A 17,740-nucleotide genomic window follows, 5' to 3' on the forward strand; every position below is an offset into this window, starting at 1 on the left:
GCCTCCTGAGTAGCTGGGACTACAGGTGCCCGCCACCACATCCGGCTAATTTTTCTGTATTTTTAATAGAGACGGGTTTTCACCATGTTAGCCAGGATGGTGTCGATCTCCTGACCTCGTGATCCGCCTGCCTCGGCCTCCCAAAGTGCTGGGGTTACAGGTGTGAGCCACCGTGCCCAGCCGATATATATTTTTTGTAGCTATTGTAAATGTGATTGAATTCTTAATTTGGTTCTCAGCTTGATTGTTATTGATGTATTTAGAAATGCTAGTGATTTTTGTACATTGTTTTGTATCCTGAAACTTTATGACATCTAGGAGTCTTTTGGAGGAGTCTTTAGGGTTTTCTAGGGATAAGATCGTGTCAGCAAACAGAGATAATCTGACTTCCTATTTTCCAGTTTGGATGCCTCTTATTTCTTTCTCTTGCCTTATTGCTCTGGCTAGGACTTCCAGTACTATGTTAGATAGGATTGGTGCAAGTGGGCATCTTTGCCTTGTTCCAGTTCTTAGCGGGAATGATTTCAACTTTTTCCCATTCAGTATGAGGTTGGCTATGGATTTGTTGTATATGGCTTTTATTATTTTGAAGTATGTTCTTTTGATGCCTAGTTTGTTGAGGTTTTTTTTTCTTCCTATCTTAAAGGGATGCTGGCTTTTATGGAATGCTTTTTCTGCATCTACTGGGATGATCACATAGTTTTAAATTCTCTTTATGTGGTGAATAACATTTATGTATTTGTGTATGTTGAATGGTCTTCACATCCTTAGAATAAAACTCACTTGATTGTGGTGTATTATCTTTTCGATGTGCTCTTGGATTCAGTTTGCTAGTATTTTGGGAAGGATTTCTGCATCTATGTTAATCAGGGGTATTGGCCTGTAGTTTTCTTTTTATGTTGTGTCCTTACCTGGCTTTGGTATCAGTGTAATATTAGCATCATACAATGAGTTAGGGAGGATTCCCTCCTCCTTGATTTTTTAGAATAGTTTCAGTAGGATTGGTAGCAGTTCTTTGTACATAGGTAAAATTTGGCTGTGAAGCCATCTAGTCCTGGGTTTTTGTTTTTGTTTGGAGATTTTTAAAATTATTGACTTAACTTCACTACTCATTATTGGTCAGTTCAAGATTTCTACTTCTTCCTGGTTCAGTCTTAGGAAGTTGCATATTTCCAGAAATTTACCCATTTCTTCTAGATTTTCTAGTTTGTGCATGTAGAGATGCTCAGTAGTCTCTGATGAACTTTTGTATTTCTGTGATATCGGTTGTGACACCACCTTTATCATTTCGGATTGTGTTTATTTGAATATTCTTTTTTTCCCCTTGGTTAATCTAGCTAGTGGCCTATCAATTTTGTTTATCTTTTCAAAGAATCAGCTTTTTGTTTCATTGATCCTTTGTATTGTTTTTTAGTCTCAATACCATTTAGTTCTGCTCTAATCTTTATTTATTTTCTTCTGCTACCTTTGGGTTTGGTTTATTCTTGCTTTTCTAGTTGCTAGAGGTGAGATGTTAGGTTGTTAATTTGAGATCTATGTTTTTGAGGCAGGTATTTAATGCTTTATATTTTCCTCTTAGTACTGCTTTTGTTGTATCTCAGAGGCTTTGGTATGCCACATCTCTGTTTTACCTCTGTCTCTCTGTCTCTCTCTCTGTCTCTCTCTTTCCCTCTCAACAGGGTCTCACTCTGGTTTCCCAGGCTGGAGTGCTAGTGGTGCGATCTTGGCTCACTGCAGCCTCAACCTCCTGAGCTCAGGTAATTCTCCCTCCTCAGCCTCCAGAGTAGCCGAGACTACAGGCATGTGCCACCATGTCCGGCTGATTTTTTGTATTTTTAATAGAGATGGGGTTTTGCTATGCTGCCCAGGCCGGTCTCACTCCTGGGCACAAGAAATCTGCCCACGTCAGTCTCCAGAATGCTGGGATTAGAGGTGTGAGCCACTGCACATGGCCTCTATTTTCATTCATTAAAACATTTTTAGGCTGGGTGCGTTGGCTCACGCCTGTAATCCCAGAACTTTGGGAGGCCGAGGTGGGTGGATCACCTGAGGTCGGGAGTTAGAGACCAGCCTGGCCAACATGGTGAAACGCCATCTCTACTAAACATACAAAAAATTAGCTGGGCGTGGTGGCAGGCACCTGTAATCCCAGCTACTAGGGAGGCTGAGGCAGGAGAATCGCTTGAACCCATGAGGCAGAGGTTGCAGTGAGCCAAGATTGTGCCATTGCACTCTAGCCTGGGCAACAAGAGCAAAAATCCATCTCAAACAAACAAACAAACAAACAAAAATTTAAATTTTTGTCTTAATTTCATTATTTACCCCAAAATCATTCAGGAGTGGACTGTTTGATTTTTATGTATTTGTATAGTTTTGAGAGTTCCTTGGTATTGATTTCTAGTTTTATTCCATTGTGGTCCAAGAAGATATTTGATATGATTTTTATTTTTAGTTTTTGTATTTGAGACCTGCTTTATGGCCAAGCTTATGATCTCTTTTGGAGAATCCTCCATGTGCCAATGAGAAAAATGTATATTCTGCACTTTTAGGGTAGAATGTTCTATAAATGTCTGTTAGGTCCATTTGGTCTAGAGCTAGTTTAAGTGCAGAGTTTCTTTATTGATTTTCTGCCTCAGTGATCTGTCTATGTGCCATCAATGGGGTGTGAAGTCCCCTGCTATTATTGTGTTGCTGCCTATCTTATTTTCTAGGTCATAGTATTTGTTTTATGAATCTGGATACTCCAGTGTTGGGTGCATATATATTTAGGATTGTTACATCTTCTTGTTGAATTGATTTCTTTATTATTATATAATAACTTTCTTCACCTTTTTTTACTTTTGGTGATCTAAAGTCTGTTTTACTTGATGTAAGTATAGCCACATTGCTTGCCTTTGGCTTCTATTTGTGTGGAGTATCTCTTTCCACCCCTTTATTTTGAGTCTGTAAATGTCTTTACTTGTTAAGTGGGCTTCTTTTAAGCAGCATATGGTTAGATCTTGTGTTTTTTTTAAAAATACATTCTGCCAGTCTATATATTTTAAGTGGAGCATTTAGATCATTATGTGCAAGGTTAATATTGATATGTGAGGATTTGTTTCTATGATAATGTTTTTTTTTTTTTTTTTTAATTTATTTTTTTATTGATAATTCTTGGGTGTTTCTCACAGAGGGGGATTTGGCAGGGTCATGGGACAATAGTGGAGGGAAGGTCAGCAGATAAACAAGTGAACAAAGGTCTCTGGTTTTCCTAGGCAGAGGACCCTGCGGCCTTCCGCAGTGTTTGTGTCCCTGATTACTTGAGATTAGGGATTGGTGATGACTCTTAACGAGCATGCTGCCTTCAAGCATCTGTTTAACAAAGCACATCTTGCACCGCCCTTAATCCATTTAACCCTGAGTGGACACAGCACATGTTTCAGAGAGCACAGGGTTGGGGGTAAGGTCACAGATCAACAGGATCCCAAGGCAGAGGAATTTTTCTTAGTGCAGAACAAAATGAAAAGTCTCCCATTTCTACTTCTTTCTACACAGACACGGCAACCATCCGATTTCTCAATCTTTTCCCCACCTTTCCCGCCTTTCTATTCCACAAAGCCGCCATTGTCATCCTGGCCCGTTCTCAATGAGCTGTTGGGCACACCTCCCAGACGGGGTGGTGGCCGGGCAGAGGGGCTCCTCACTTCCCAGTAGGGGCGGCCGGGCAGAGGCGCCCCTCACCTCCCGGACGGGGCGGCTGGCCGGGCGGGGGGGCTGACCCCCCCCACCTCCCTCCCGGACGGGGCGGCTGGCCGGGCGGGGGGCTGACCCCTCCACCTCCCTCCCGGATGGGGCGGCTGGCCGGGCGGGGGGCCGACCCCCCCACCTCCCTCCCGGACGGGGCGGCTGGCCGGGCAGAGGGGCTCCTCACTTCCCAGTAGGGGCGGCCGGGCAGAGGCGCCCCTCACCTCCCAGACGGGGCGGCTGGCCGGGCGGAGGGCTGACCCCCCTACCTCCCTCCCGGACGGGGCGGCTGGCCGGGCAGAGGGGCTCCTCACTTCCCAGTAGGGGCGGCCGGGCAGAGGCGCCCCTCACCTCCCAGACGGGGCGGCTGGCCGGGCGGAGGGCTGACCCCCCCACCTCCCTCCCGGACGGGGTGGCTGGCCGGGCTGAGGGGCTCCTCACTTCCCAGTAGGGGCGGCCGGGCAGAGGCGCCCCTCACCTCCCGGACGGGGCGGCTGGCCGGGCGGGGGGCTGACCCCCACACCTCCCTCCCAGACGTCATGGCTGGCCGGGCGGGGGGGCTGACCCCCCACCTCCCTCCCGGACGGGGTGGCTGCCGGGCGGAGACGCTCCTCACTTCCCAGATGGGGTGGCTGCCGGGCGGAGAGGCTCCTCACTTCTCAGACGGGGCAGCTGCCGGGCAGAGGGGCTCCTCACTTCTCAGACGGGGTGGTTGCCAGGCAGAGGGTCTCCTCACTTCTCAGACGGGGCGGCCGGGCAGAGACGCTCCTCACCTCCCAGACGGGGTCTCGGCCGGGCAGAGGCGCTCCTCACATCCCAGATGGGGCAGCGGGGCAGAGGCGCTCCCCACATCTCAGACGATGGGCGGCAGGGCAGAGACGCTCCTCACTTCCTAGATGTGATGGCGGCTGGGAAGAGGCGCTCCTCACTTCCTAGATGGGATGGCGGCCGGGCGGAGACGCTCCTCACTTTCCAGACTGGGCAGCCAGGCAGAGGGGCTCCTCACATCCCAGACGATGGGCGGCCAGGCAGAGACACTCCTCACTTCCCAGACGGGGTGGCGGCCGGGCAGAGGCTGCAATCTCGGCACTTTGGGAGGCCAAGGCAGGCGGCTGGGAGGTGGAGGTTGTAGCGAGCCGAGATCACGCCACTGCACTCCAGCCTGGGCACCATTGAGCACTGAGTGAACGAGACTCCGTCTGCAATCCCGGCACCTCGGGAGGCCGAGGTTGGCGGATCACTCGCGGTTAGGGGCTGGAGACCGGCCCGGCCAACACAGCGAAACCCCATCTCCACCAAAACCAGTCAGGCGTGGCGGCGCGTGCCTGCAATCGCAGGCATTCGGCAGACTGAGGCAGGAGAATCAGGCAGGGAGGTTGCAGTGAGCCGAGATGGCAGCAGTACAGTCCAGCTTCGGCTCCGCATGAGAGGGAGACCGTGGGGAGAGAGAGAGGGAGAGGGAGAGGGAGAGGGAGAGAGCGTTTTCTTTTTCTCTACTTTTTTTTTTTTTAGACAGAGTCTTGCTTTGTCACCCAGGCTGAAGTGCAATGGCACAATCTCGGCTCACTGCAACCTCCACCTCCCGGGCTCAAGCAATTCTCCTGCCTCAGCCTCCCAAGTAGATGGGACTACAGGCACAGGCCACCGCACCCAGCTAATTTTTATATTTTTAGTAGAGATGGGGTTTCACCTTGCTGCCCAGGCCGGTCTTGAACTCCTGACCTCAGGTGATCCACCCATCTCGGCCTTCCAAAGTGCTGGGATTACAGGTGTAAGCCACCACACCCAGCCTATATTGCATTTTCTTTATCCACTCATCTCTCCACGGACATTTAGATTGTTTCCATATCTTGGCTACTGTGAAAAATGCTGGGACTAGACGTGTTCAAAATGATGGCTCCATCTTCCCTTCTCTGCCAGCCACGTCGATAATGTTAACTGTTACCTCGTTGCTTTGTATTTTCAATTATGTAATTGTTTTACAGGATCTGTGAGTTTTATACTTTTGTGTGCTTTTATGATGAAGAGTATTACCTTTTCATTTCCATGTTTAGAACTCCTTTGAGCATTTCTTGTAAGGCTGGTCAAGTGGTGGTGAATTTCCTTAGGGTTTGCTTGTCTGGAAAGTATTTTATTTTTCCTTCTTTAAAAAGCTCAGTTTAGCAGATTACAAAATTTTGGCTGAAACTCTCGGAAAGACTCTCCCAGGTTGTAATCCTTAGTAAGACTCTGAATAAAACAAACTCTAACTCTTAAATAAATAAATAAGTCTCTTTGTTAAATTTCTCTAACAAATTTCGTAATAGCTCTTCTGTGTTATCTTGGAGTTTGTTCAGTTTCCTTAGAATCGTTATTTTGAATTTTTGATCTAAGAATGCACACATTGTTGTCTTGTTAGGGTCAGTCACTGGCTTCTTAGTTTGTCCATTTGGGAAGGTTACATTTCCTTTTTTCCTATTGTTTCTTGTAGATATATATCTATGGCTTCGCATTGAAGGAGTAGTCATTTATTCCTGTCTTCTCATTTATTCCAGTCTTCTCTGTCTGGCTTATTTTGGCCTTTCTAGGGTTTGTTTGTTTAAAGGTTCTTTGCAGTTACCATGAGTCCCCAAAATGCTAGATTACTGCCTTTTTTTGTTGTTGTTGCAGTAGATGGTGCCTGAAGCTAAGGTTTGTCTTGACTCTTGCAAATGGTCAGAGCACTACCCATCCTAAACAGGGGGTTCTCAAAAGCAATACCTCAGCTGTGGGGGAAGGCTGGCTAAGGGTTCATGCCCAGAAGACCCATGGTGTGTACCTCCTACAGCATGGTGCTGCTGAACAGCCTTTGGCTGAGATAAAGGGCAGAGTTTCATGGACTGGAGTTTTTAGTCCCACATCCCCTTTTTGTTACTAGCTTCCCTTAGGGGTTTTTCTTCTTATAGGCACTTGGGATGCTGGTTGAAGCAGGAATGGGTTTTCTCCAAGGGAACCCAAGATGGTGGGGAAGCTGGCTGTCTGCCTCAATCTTACTTTTTCCAGTGTAGAAACTGTGAGTCAGGGAGAAAGTGTCATGGATAAAGAAGTTTGTTTCTCTTACTCTCTCCTCAGAGTTTTACACTTTTCTGTGGCCCCAGGGATTGTCCTAGTCTCTGATTTGAGTTCTGGGATGGTGTTGATGACATTTGTCTTGGATTTCTTTTTTGGTTTTCAGTGGAGGAGAGTGAAGTGCTTCTACTTTACCATTTTGTTGAAGTTGCTCCATTTGTTCTTGATGTCATAATTTGCATCTTTTAATATTATGTATCCCTGTATTAGTCCATTTTCACACTGCTATAAAGAACTACTTGAGACTGGGTAATATGGAAAGAAAAGAGGTTTAACTGACTGACAGTTCTGCATGGCTGGGGAGGCAACTTACAATCATGGTGGAAGGTGAAGGGGAGGCAAGTCACATCTTACATGGTGGCAGGAGAGACAGAGAGAGCAAAGGGGGAAGTGCCATACTTTTAAACCATTAGATCTGGTGAGAACTCACTCGCTATCATGAGAACAGCATGAGGAAAATCCACTCCCATGATCCAGTCACCTCCTACCAGGTCCCTCCCCTGACACATGGGGATTACAATTTGACATGAGATTTGGGTGGGGATACAGAGTCAAACCATATCATTCCACCTCTGGCCCCTCCCAAATCTCTTGTCCTTCTCACATTTCAAAACCAATCATGCCTTCCCAACAGTCCCCCAAAGTCTTAACTCATTCCAGCATTAACTCAAAAGTCCAAGTCCAAAGTCTCTTCTGAGATAAGGCAAGTCCCTTCTGCTTATGAGACTGTAAAATAAAAAACAAGTTAGTTATTTCCAAGACACAATGGGAGTACAGGCATTGGGTAAATGCTCCCATTCCAAATGGGAGAAATTGGCTAAAACAAAGAGGCTACAGGCCTTATGCAAATCCAAAACCCAGCAGGGCAGTCATTAAATCTTTTATTTTATTTTATTTTATTTTATTTTATTTTATTTTTTTGAGACGGAGTCTCACTCTGTTGCCCAGGCTGGAGTGCTGGAGTGCAGTGGTGCGATCTTGGCTCACTGCAAGCTCTGCCTCCGGGGTTCATGCCATTCTCCTACCTCAGCCTCCCATGTAGCTGGGACTACAGGCACCTGCCACCACACCCGCCTAATTTTTTGTATTTTTAGTAGAGACGGGGTTTCACCGTGTTAGCCAGGATGGTCTCAATCTCCTGACCTCCTGATCCCCCCGCCTCGGCCTCCCAAAGTGCTGGGATTACAGGCGTGAGCCACCGTGCCCAGCCAAATCTTAAAGCTCCAAAATAATCTCCTTTGACTCCATGTCTCACATCCAGGCCACACTGATACAAAGGGTGGGCTTCCGAGGCATTGGGCAGTCCCGCCCCTGTGGCTCTGCAGGGTACAGCCCCTGCGGGTGCTTTCATGGGCTGGCATTGAGTGTCTGTGGTTTTTCCAAGTGGATGGTGCAGCTGTTGGTGGATCTACCATTCTGGGGTTTGGAGTATGGTGGCCCCCTTTTTACAGCTTCACTAGGCAGTGCTCCAGTGGGGACTCTGTGTAGGGGCTCCAACCCCACATTTTCTCTCTGCCTGCCCTAGTAGAGGTTTTCCATGAGGGCTCTGCCCCTGCAGCAGACTTCTGCGTGGACATCCATTTGTTTCCATACATCCTCTGAAATCTAGGTGGAGGTTCCCAAAGCTCAATTCTCACCTTCTGCACACCTACAGGCCCAACACCATATGGAAGTTGCCAAGGCCTGGGGCTTGCTTCCTCTGAAGTGATGACCCAAGCTGTACCTTGGCCCCCTTTAGCTGTGGCTGGAGCTGGAGCAGCTGGGACACCATATCCTGAGCCTACACAGAGCAGTAGGGCTCTGGGCATGATCCATGAAACCATTTTTCCCTCCTAGGCTTCTGGGCCTGTGATGGGAGGGGCTGCTGTGATGGTCTTGGACATGCCCTGAAGACAGTTTCCCCATTGTCTTGGCTATTAACATTTAGCTTCTCTCTCTTTTTCTTTTTTTTTTTCTGAGACGAGGTCTTTCTCTGTCACCCAGGCTGGAGTGCAGTGGCATGATTTTGGCTCACTGCAACCTCCGCCTCCTGGGTTAAAGTAATTCTCCTGCCTCAGCCTCCCAAGTAGCTGGGATTACAGGTGCTCACCACCACACCCAGCTAATTTTTGTATTTTTAGTAGAGACGGGATTTCACCATGTTGGCCAGGCTGGTCTCTAACTCCCGACCTCAGGTGATCCACCCACCTCGGCCTCCCAAAGTTCTGGGATTACAGGCATGAGCCACCATACCTGGCCTTAAAATCTAATAAAGATTAAAATCTCCCTAGATTAACAGACAGACTTGACAATGTCGGTTCATCTTCCTCACGCAGAAAAGCACATTTGTCTTTCATTCTTTCCCTGTAGTGTCTTTTATTCCTATTCGTGTTTTATTAATTTTCTTGGAATAAATCACATATTTTGAGTTAAATTAGCATTTATTCCATTTATTTACTTGTTTAAAACATCGTATCCAATGTTACCCATTTTTTTTTCTAGCTATGTACTCCAATATAGAAATTCCTTAGGCTTTTGGGACTTTAGCTTGTGTTACTTCGTTAGGCAGAATGAGCTAGACTGTGCTGCAGTAATACAGCACTCCCAAATCTGAGTGGCTAAACACAAGTTTTTTCCTCCCTCATGCCAAGTCCACTGCTGGCATAATAAGCATCAGGACAGCTGTCCTCTGTGTGGTGAGTTAGTGAGCCAGCCTGCTTGACTTTATGCTTCTCCATCTTAATGCTCAGCCTCTGCACTTGCCACCAAGGGGAAGAGGGAGACCTGAGGATCCCTGGGTCTTCTCACTGCCTCAGCCCAGAAGTGACCCTCATCACACTCCTGCTCCTATTTCATTGACCAGAACGAGTCACAGGACTCTGCCTAAGGACAAGGGGGCTTAGAGGCAGAGTCTTCTCTGGAGAGGAGAACCAGATAGGGGAAGCCATGCTACACCCATGCCCTTGGCTTTTTGGGGTTTGGGGTTAGCAGACTCAAGCAGAAGAGAAATTCCCAGGAGTTGTTTTAAAATAACAGTGAAAAGGTTAGATAATATGGGGGCACTCGGAGCTGGTGTCAGAAGGTGTGAGGTGATACCTCCCCCCAAAAAATAAGGGCTGGGAGAAGGGCAGGGGGTCTTGAGGTGGGCCAGCCATTGGGGAGGGATGGATGTCAGACAAGTTTAGGGACTGAGAAAAGTAAGTGAGTGGACACAGGACCTGGAAGGGTCTGGTCAGCAAGAGACATGAGGGAATGGAGCTACCAGGGACAGGAAGAGGATGATAATGAACTTTCCCTGAGTGCTGGCCCTGTGCTTGGTGCTTGCCAAGTACTTTATGCTTGTTAACTAAGTCCTCTAACAATCTTTGAGGCTGGTACTCTTGGAACTACCATTTGACAGATGAGGAACTCAGAGATGTTAAGTCACTTGTCCCGGGTCACCAGCTGTGGGGGTGCCAGAGCTGGATCCCCTACCTTTCCCAAGAATCTAAAGTCTGCGCGAATTTGTAGCCTAAGCTGTTAATAATCGTGCTGTGTCACTTTGTCAAGATATCCATAAAAGAGAGAGCGAGGGAGGGAGAAGGAAGTGCCATCCTTGAAATGTGTCCAGCCCTGCACTAGGCACTGGTGTAAATGTCCCAGAAACTGCTGGACACATAACCATCCTCAACACATATCTCTCTCCTTCCCCCAGTTTCCTGAGCTAAGGGCAGAGATGTGGACTTCTGTGCCCCATTTGGCCACTGTCTTTTCTTTTTTTCTTTTTCTTTCTTCTTCTTTTTTTTTTTTTTTGAGATGGAGTCTTGCTCTGTCACCCAGGCTGGAGTGCAGTGGCACGATCTCAGCTCACTGCAACCTCCGCCTCTTGGGTTCAAGCAATTCTCCTGCTTCAGCCTCCTGAGTAGCTGGGATTTCAGACACCCATCACCATGCCTGGCTAATTTTTGTGTTTTTAGTAGAGATGGCGTTTCACTATGTTAGACAGGCTGGTCTCGAGCTTCTGACCTCAGGCGATCCACCTGCTTGGCCTCCCAAAGTGCTGGGATTATAGGTGTGAGCCACCACGCCTGGCCAGCCACTGTCTTTTCTAAGAGCCGTGAGTGAGATGGGGCTGGGATTCTTGTCCCAGGGGCCTACTCTGCCAGATTGGTAAAGGCGGGGCTGCCTGCCGGCAGGGAAGGAGGAAGGGGGAAGGCTGTTTGGCCTCAGCATGCTTGCAGAATATTTCTGGTGACAGATGGGAAAGCTTGAATGTGGGTGCTTTGCAAAACATCCTCCTGCAGCCTCCACCAGCGAGTGCTGCCAGGATAATAAAGCCAGACAGATGTGGGTTCAGATAAAATGGGGGTAATGACAGTCTTGGGGATTAAATGAGAGAATTCATATAAAGTGCTGAGCACAGTTCCTGGCACAGGCACTAGATGTTCAATGAGTGCGCTCTCATTACCCTTGTCACAGATGTTTAAAATGGAAAATGAGGTTCAGCAAGTTGCCCAGGCTTGTGACAAATAAGTGGCAGAGCTGGGGCTTGAATCCAGGTCTGGGCCATAGAATTAGCTCTTGTCTCCCCACCCCACTGCCCCAGCAGGACCAGAGCTGAGCAGTTCACCTGGGATTTTAGCAATATAGAATCACAGGAAGAATGTTCCTGCCTTTCCCATAAAAATGCTGTTTTGAAAACAGAACATTATGTAATTAATGTCCTTTCTCGGGCAGATTTGAGCTCTGATTCCTCTTGGCATTTTATGTTAAAAAGAAGTTTTTCTTTTCTGGCAAGCCTGCATGATTGCTAATAACAGTGGAGCAAAATAATTTTTGCTACAGCTAGGAAAAGAATTTTTCCTCAATCCTCATGAGTTCTTAGTTGGGACGGACCCCTGTAACAAGACAGATTGACGAGAAAAACAGTTTAGTGACGCGTGCAATGCATATCACGTGGCCGCAACTTCAGTGAAAAGTAACTCAAAGCAGTAGCTTAGAACTCTGGCTTATGTAACCTCTTCAACAAAGAACAATAAATCTGTGGAGAAATGACAGGACAAAGGTAAGCAGTTTTAGGCTTCCAACAGCTGGAAGCTCAGGAAGGTAAATATATGGGAGGAAACCACTGGAGTGAGGTTTCCTTGCAGATTCCTCTGGTGCCATCTCTGAGCTCTTAGGAGTCTAGAGTTGTCTCCAGTAAAGGTGAATTTATATCCTGCCTCTAGGCAGATAAGGGGGAGGGTGGAGGGAGTTTTCCTGTGTTTGCTGCTTCTTAATTGCCTTCAACTCAAAAATAATTTTACGTCAAAGAGGATACTTTGGGGGGACATATCCTTTGACAGCCACTATAGGTTGAGTTCTTACTATATTCCAGGCCTAGGCCTCATTGCTTTACAAACAAACTCTCATTTAATTCGGAAGACCCTGTGGAGTAAGTACTTTGACATCTGTTTTACAGTTTAGGAAACTGAAGTGCAGTTTTTCCTAAAATTGTTGCTAGTGGATGGTCGAGACAGGATTTGAAGCTAGGTTTTGGAATTTTTCTGGTTTTTGTCTTTTTTTTTTTTTTTTTTTTTTTTTTGAGACGGAGTCTCGCTCTGTCACCAGGCTGGGGTGTAGTGGCATGATCTTGGCTCACTGCAAGCTCTGCCTCCCGCGTTCAAGCGATTCCCCTGCCTCAGCCTCCTGAGTAGCTGGGACTACAGGCGCCTGCCACCGCGCCCGCTAGTTTTTCGCATTTTAGTAGAGACAGGGTTTCACCATGTTGGCCAGGATGGTCTTGATCTCCTGACCTCATGATCTGCCTGCCTCGGCCTCCCAAAGTGTTGGGATTACAGGCATGAGCCAGTGTGTCCAGCCTGGTTTTTGTCTTTTTTTGGCCATGGGATCTGTGTTTAAATGGAAATACATGGAAACAAACATTGAGCTGCTCTAATTAAAGTTGAGAAAAGTGGTGATGAGGGCAAGGAGATTATAAATGGCTTGGTGTCACTCCTCACTTCCCCCATGAAGCAAAATTTGAAAATCACTGAATTGTTCTGCTTTCTATGACTCCTTCTATGTTTATAGATAAAGATTGGATTTCCTTTTCTGCCTTGCCTTCTGGGAGGCTCAGGCCTTCTTTGTTTTACTCAGTCATGCTAATTCTCTTCAAATTGGGGTTCTGGACCAGGCACAGTGGCTCGCGCCTGTAATCCCAGCACTTTGGGAGGCCGAGGTGGGCGAATCACTTGAGGTCAGGAGTTCGAGACCAACCTGGCCAACATGGCAAAACCCCATCTCTACTAAAAATACAAAAATTAGCTGGGCATGGTGGCACATGCCTGTAATCCCAACTACTCGGCAGGCTGAGGCACGAGAATTGCTTGAACTTGGGAGGTGGAGGTTGCAGCTGCATTCTAGCCTGGGCAACAGAGTGAGACTTTGTCACAAAAAAACAAAACAAAAACCAAAACAAACTGGAATTCTGAAATAATTTTCTGTTTCCCATCTTCCCATTACAAAGCCCTTCTTTTACTCTGTGATCACCCTTTAATCAGGCTGGCATGGTGGCTCTCGCCTGTAATCCCAGCACTTTGGGGAGGCTAAGGTGGGAGGATCGCTTGTGCCCAGGAGTTTGAGACCAGCCTAGGCAACATCACAAGACTCCTATCTCTAAAAAAAAAGAAAAAAGAAAAAAAGTTAGCTGGATGTGGTGGTGTGCACCTGTAGTTCCAGCTACTTGGGAGGCTGAGGCAGGAGGATTGGTTGAGCCTAGGAGTTGGAGGTTACAGTGAGTCATGATCGTTCCACTGATCTCCAGCCTAGGCAGCAGAGTGAGAACTTGTCTCAAAAAAAAAAAAAAAAAAAAAAAAAAATCAAGAACCCCGAACCAACACTCATAATTTACAGTTGCCCCAGGCTGTGGCTTAATGATTAAGACGAACACAAGTGACTGACTTGGGGGCAGAGGGCTGGCTGGTGTTTGTGTTGAGGGGAGTGTTTTCAGCATCCCTGGATATGCCAGTCTGCCTGTGCCCCCACAGCTCTCTCCCTCTACGGGGCATGCCTGAGGTTGGCTTTGCAGGAGGAGTGAGCGTTTTATCTTGGACAATGGGAAGGTTGAGCTTAGGTGCCCTGATCCCATGGGAAACCCTTCCTTGGAGGAGGGAGCCCTGGCTCACTTAGCTATTGCCAGGCAACCTGGGAACATGACTGGTGTTCCTCATTGGGCAGTCCTGCTCATCTCTCTATAAGGTCCTTTCTAGGAAGTAGACGAGTACATGTAATGAAAGGGCTAGCTTTGGAAAACAAGCCCAGCCCCATGTCCTCCTCTCTGGATGAGTGTCAGCCAAAAATCAACTCAAAACATCTCCTTGCTGTGGACTGAAGATTTGTCTCCCCCTTATTCATATGTCAAACCCTCATCCCCAGTGGCATGGTATTTGGAGATGGGGCCTTTGGAGGTAATCAGGGTTAGTTGAGGTCATGAGGATGGGGCCTTCATGATGAGATTAGTGTCCTTATAAAAAAGACACCAGAGAGCTTGCTTTCTCTTCTCCCTCTCGCCCAGTGTGAGGACACAGTGAGAAGGTGACCATCTGCAAGCCAGAAAGACAGCCCTCACCAGAAAACAACCATGAGGGCACCTTGATCTTAGACTTCTAAGCCTCCAGAACTGTGAGAAAATACATTTCTGGCTGGGCACGGTGACTCACGCCTGTCATTCTAGCACCTGAGGAGGCCAAAGCAGGTGGATCACCTGAAGTCAGGAGTTCGACACCAGCCTGGGCAACATGGTGAAATCCCATCTATACTAAAAATACAAAAATTAGCTGGGCATGGTGGCAGGCACCTGTAATCCCAGCTACTTGGGAGGCTGAGGCAGGAGAATTGCTTGAACCTGGGAGGTGGAGGTTGCAATGAGCTGAGATTGTGCCACTGCACTCCAGCCTGGGCGACAGAGCAAGACTGTCTCAAAAAAAAAAAAAAAAAAAAAAAGAAAAAGAAAAAGAAAATGAAAATAGATTTCTGTTGTTTAAGCCACCCAGTCTATGTTCTGTTACGGCAGCCTGAGCTGACTAGGACATCCAGACAGAAGGAGATTAAGGCAATTAGTTCTGTTCTTCTGAAGTCTGGCAGGTGGGGGCACTGTAAGGCAAGAAACTAGCAGGAGTGAGGTGGTTACTGGTTTAGTGGGTCTTTGGAGGCACTGAAAAATCAAATTGTTTACGTTACTGCTCAGCAATGGGAATGCAAAGAATGCAAGGAATCCCATCACAATGGTAGATTCTGACTTTTTTTTTTTTGGAGAAGGAGTCTCTCTCACACAGTGTGGAATGCAGTGGTATGATCTCTGCAACCTCCACCTCCCGGACTCAAGCGATTCTCTTGCCTCAGCCACCAAGTAGCTGGGACTACAGGCACGTGCCACCACGCCCAGCTAATTTTTGTATTTTTAGTAAAGACAGGGCTTTTTCATGTTGGTCGGGCTGGTCTTGAACTCTTGGCCTCAAGTGATCGCCCACCTCGGCCTCCCAACGTGCTGGGATTACAGGTGTGAGCCACCGTGCCCAGTCGATCCTGATCCTGGTTGAATTTGTGGGTGGAGGCGTCTGGGGCATCTGGGGATGGAGTTTAGCAGCAAGTGGACATTCCTCACCCCAGAACTAAGGTAGGTCTGCATTGACCTGAGTCCTTTTTTTTTTTGAGATGGAGTCTCGCTCTGTTGCCCAGGCTGGAGTGCAGTGGCAAGATCTTGGCTCACTGCAGCCTCTGCCTCCCGGGTTCCAGAGATTCTCCTGCCTCAGCCTCCTGGGTAGCTGAGATTACAGGTGTGTGCCACATGCCTGGCTAATTTTTGTATTTTTAGTAGAGACGAGGTTTCACCACATTGGCCAGGCTGGTCTCGAACTCCTGACCTCAGGTGATCCACCCGCCCCAGCCTCCCAAAGTGCTGGGATTACAGGCGTGAGCCACTGCGCTCGGCCGAGTCTGTTTTTATAGTGCAGAGGTTAAGTATTTCAAGTTCAGACAGACAAATGGCAGATAAAGTAGGTCCCTGAATCCCATGGAGCATGGTCAGGCTGGTGCAGGGGCCTCCTAGGAGCACTTTCCAGGAGCAAGGCCTGGCTGTAGTGGAAAGAATGCAGACTCTGCAGACAGGTCACTCTGGGTGAGAATCACATCTCTCCTGGGGCATTGCCTTATGTCTTCTGGCAAGGCCCTTCACTTACCTGAGCCCAGGTGTCTTCATCTGCAGAGTGGGGAGGAAGACATCTGATTGTCATGGGTGCTGACATTGCTGGCCCCCTATAAATGCAGTGACTGTCAGACCTCTGAGCCCAAGCTAAGCCATCGTATCCCCTGTGACCTGCACGTATACATCCAGATGGCCTCTAAGGAATGACAAAAGAAGTGAAAATGGCCTGTTCCTCCCTTAACTGATGACTTTACCTTGTGAAATTCCTTCTCCTGGCTCATCCTGGCTCAAAAGCTCCTCCGCTGAGTACCTTGTGACCCCCCACCCCTGCCTGCCAGAGAACAACCCTCCTTTGACTGTAATTTTCCTTTACCTACCCAAATCTTATAAAATGGCCTCACCCCATCTCCCTTTGCTGACTCTCTTTTCGGACTCAGCCCGCCTGCACCCAGGTGACATAAATAGCCTTGTTGCTCACACAAAGCCTGTTTGGTGGTCTCTTCACACAGATATGAGTGAAAGTGATCATTACTGACATCCATTCACAACTTTCCGGGGTGCCTAACTATTTTCAGGGCCCTGGATAAAGGTGAGCAGAATCAGACAGGGTCCCACCCTCACAGGGTTTGGAGTCAGTATAATCTCAAGTGTGGTGAGGCTGCCCTGCCAAATCTCCTGTGGTGTGAGGACTCTTGTGACACACACGCTGCAGGACCAGGGTTGGAGGGTCCCTTCACATCCTAAGGTCAGCCCTCTCTCCCAGGTTTTGTGTTTAGTGCTGGTTTGCCATTGACAGGGGCATTCTGCAAACCCAAACCAGGACCCGAGAGAGTGTGGCCCCCGCAAGAACGGGGGTTGCTGTCTTGGCTCCCTGTTTAGGGAGAGGTCTGAAGTCAGAGCTGCTGCAGCAGCCTTTTGCTTCTCCATGGTCTCCAGGCTTGAGTGATGGCCTCATCATCAGCCTTCAGGGATGATCTGACTCTCTAGACACTCCTGTGGTGTGCAGGAGCCATGCGGCTCTGATGCGGGTCCTGCCAGCATGATGCCAGTGAGGCCCAGGTATATTGATGAATGCCCAAGTGGGCAGATGAGGGCTTCCCAGCAAATGGATATCTGTGGGTCAGGGTGGAAACCGTGGAGGAAGGAGGCAGGTAGGGCCTTCTCTGGTTGCTATGGGCTGGACCTGGGAGAAGGCTAGGTGTATTGCAGAGGGAGAAGGGGTTTCTCATTCTTTCATTCGACAAACACTTCCTGAGCATCTTCTCTAGGCCTTGTGCACTAGGGATTCAGAGTAAACAAGATAGACAAGAATCTTTGCCCTCATGGAGCTGACATTATCATTAGGAGGGACACACGAGACAAATCAGTAAAATATAGAATATGTTCAATGGTGATAAACAGTAAGGGGGAAAAAGAAGGCAAGGCAGGCAGAGGAAGACTGCAGAAGTTGAGATTTTAGATGGGGTGGCTAAAGGGGACCTCATTTAGAAGAAGTGTGATAAAAGACCTGAAGAAAGCAAGGGAGTGGGCCGCGAGGCTCTTGGAGGGAAGGATACTCCTGGCTGGGGAAGAGCAGGTGGAAAGGCATGGAGATGGGGCATGCCTGGAGAGGGTAGGAGGCCAGCACAACTGGGACTGTGTGAGCAAGTGGGAGAGTGCAGGAAGGAGGTCGGAGGCTAAGAGGGAGCTGGACTCGCAGGACCACCTGGAATGCAGGAGAGACTCCACTGGGAGCCCAGGGAGGGCTCTGTGCAGAGTCGCAAGTTCTGCCTTAGACTGGAGGAAGAT

At 48.1% G+C, this 17,740-nt stretch overlaps 1 long non-coding RNA gene across 2 annotated transcripts in view, besides 4 other annotated features; it reads left to right on the forward strand.

The window, feature by feature from the left end:
- The window catches only part of LOC107984079 (uncharacterized), a 44,804-nt gene that overhangs the window by 10,576 nt on the left and 16,488 nt on the right, over positions 1–17,740 (forward strand). The window lies entirely within an intron of this gene.
- Positions 14,347–15,347: an enhancer, noted in NCBI's record as "OCT4-NANOG-H3K27ac-H3K4me1 hESC enhancer chr3:58546021-58547021 (GRCh37/hg19 assembly coordinates)". NCBI's record gives its function as "activates a minimal SCP1, AML or CMV promoter by ChIP-STARR-seq in naive H9 embryonic stem cells {active_cell/tissue: H9 hESC(naive)}" and the evidence as "EXISTENCE:reporter gene assay evidence [ECO:0000049][PMID:30033119]".
- Positions 15,348–15,848: an enhancer, noted in NCBI's record as "NANOG-H3K27ac-H3K4me1 hESC enhancer chr3:58547022-58547522 (GRCh37/hg19 assembly coordinates)". NCBI's record gives its function as "activates a minimal SCP1, AML or CMV promoter by ChIP-STARR-seq in primed H9 embryonic stem cells {active_cell/tissue: H9 hESC(primed)}" and the evidence as "EXISTENCE:reporter gene assay evidence [ECO:0000049][PMID:30033119]".
- Positions 15,849–16,349: an enhancer, noted in NCBI's record as "NANOG-H3K27ac-H3K4me1 hESC enhancer chr3:58547523-58548023 (GRCh37/hg19 assembly coordinates)". NCBI's record gives its function as "activates a minimal SCP1, AML or CMV promoter by ChIP-STARR-seq in naive H9 embryonic stem cells {active_cell/tissue: H9 hESC(naive)}" and the evidence as "EXISTENCE:reporter gene assay evidence [ECO:0000049][PMID:30033119]".
- Positions 16,350–17,350: an enhancer, noted in NCBI's record as "NANOG-H3K27ac-H3K4me1 hESC enhancer chr3:58548024-58549024 (GRCh37/hg19 assembly coordinates)". NCBI's record gives its function as "activates a minimal SCP1, AML or CMV promoter by ChIP-STARR-seq in naive H9 embryonic stem cells {active_cell/tissue: H9 hESC(naive)}" and the evidence as "EXISTENCE:reporter gene assay evidence [ECO:0000049][PMID:30033119]".

Source organism: Homo sapiens, chromosome 3 (assembly GCF_000001405.40).
Source record: "Homo sapiens chromosome 3, GRCh38.p14 Primary Assembly".
NCBI classification, from domain to species: Eukaryota; Metazoa; Chordata; class Mammalia; order Primates; family Hominidae; genus Homo; species Homo sapiens.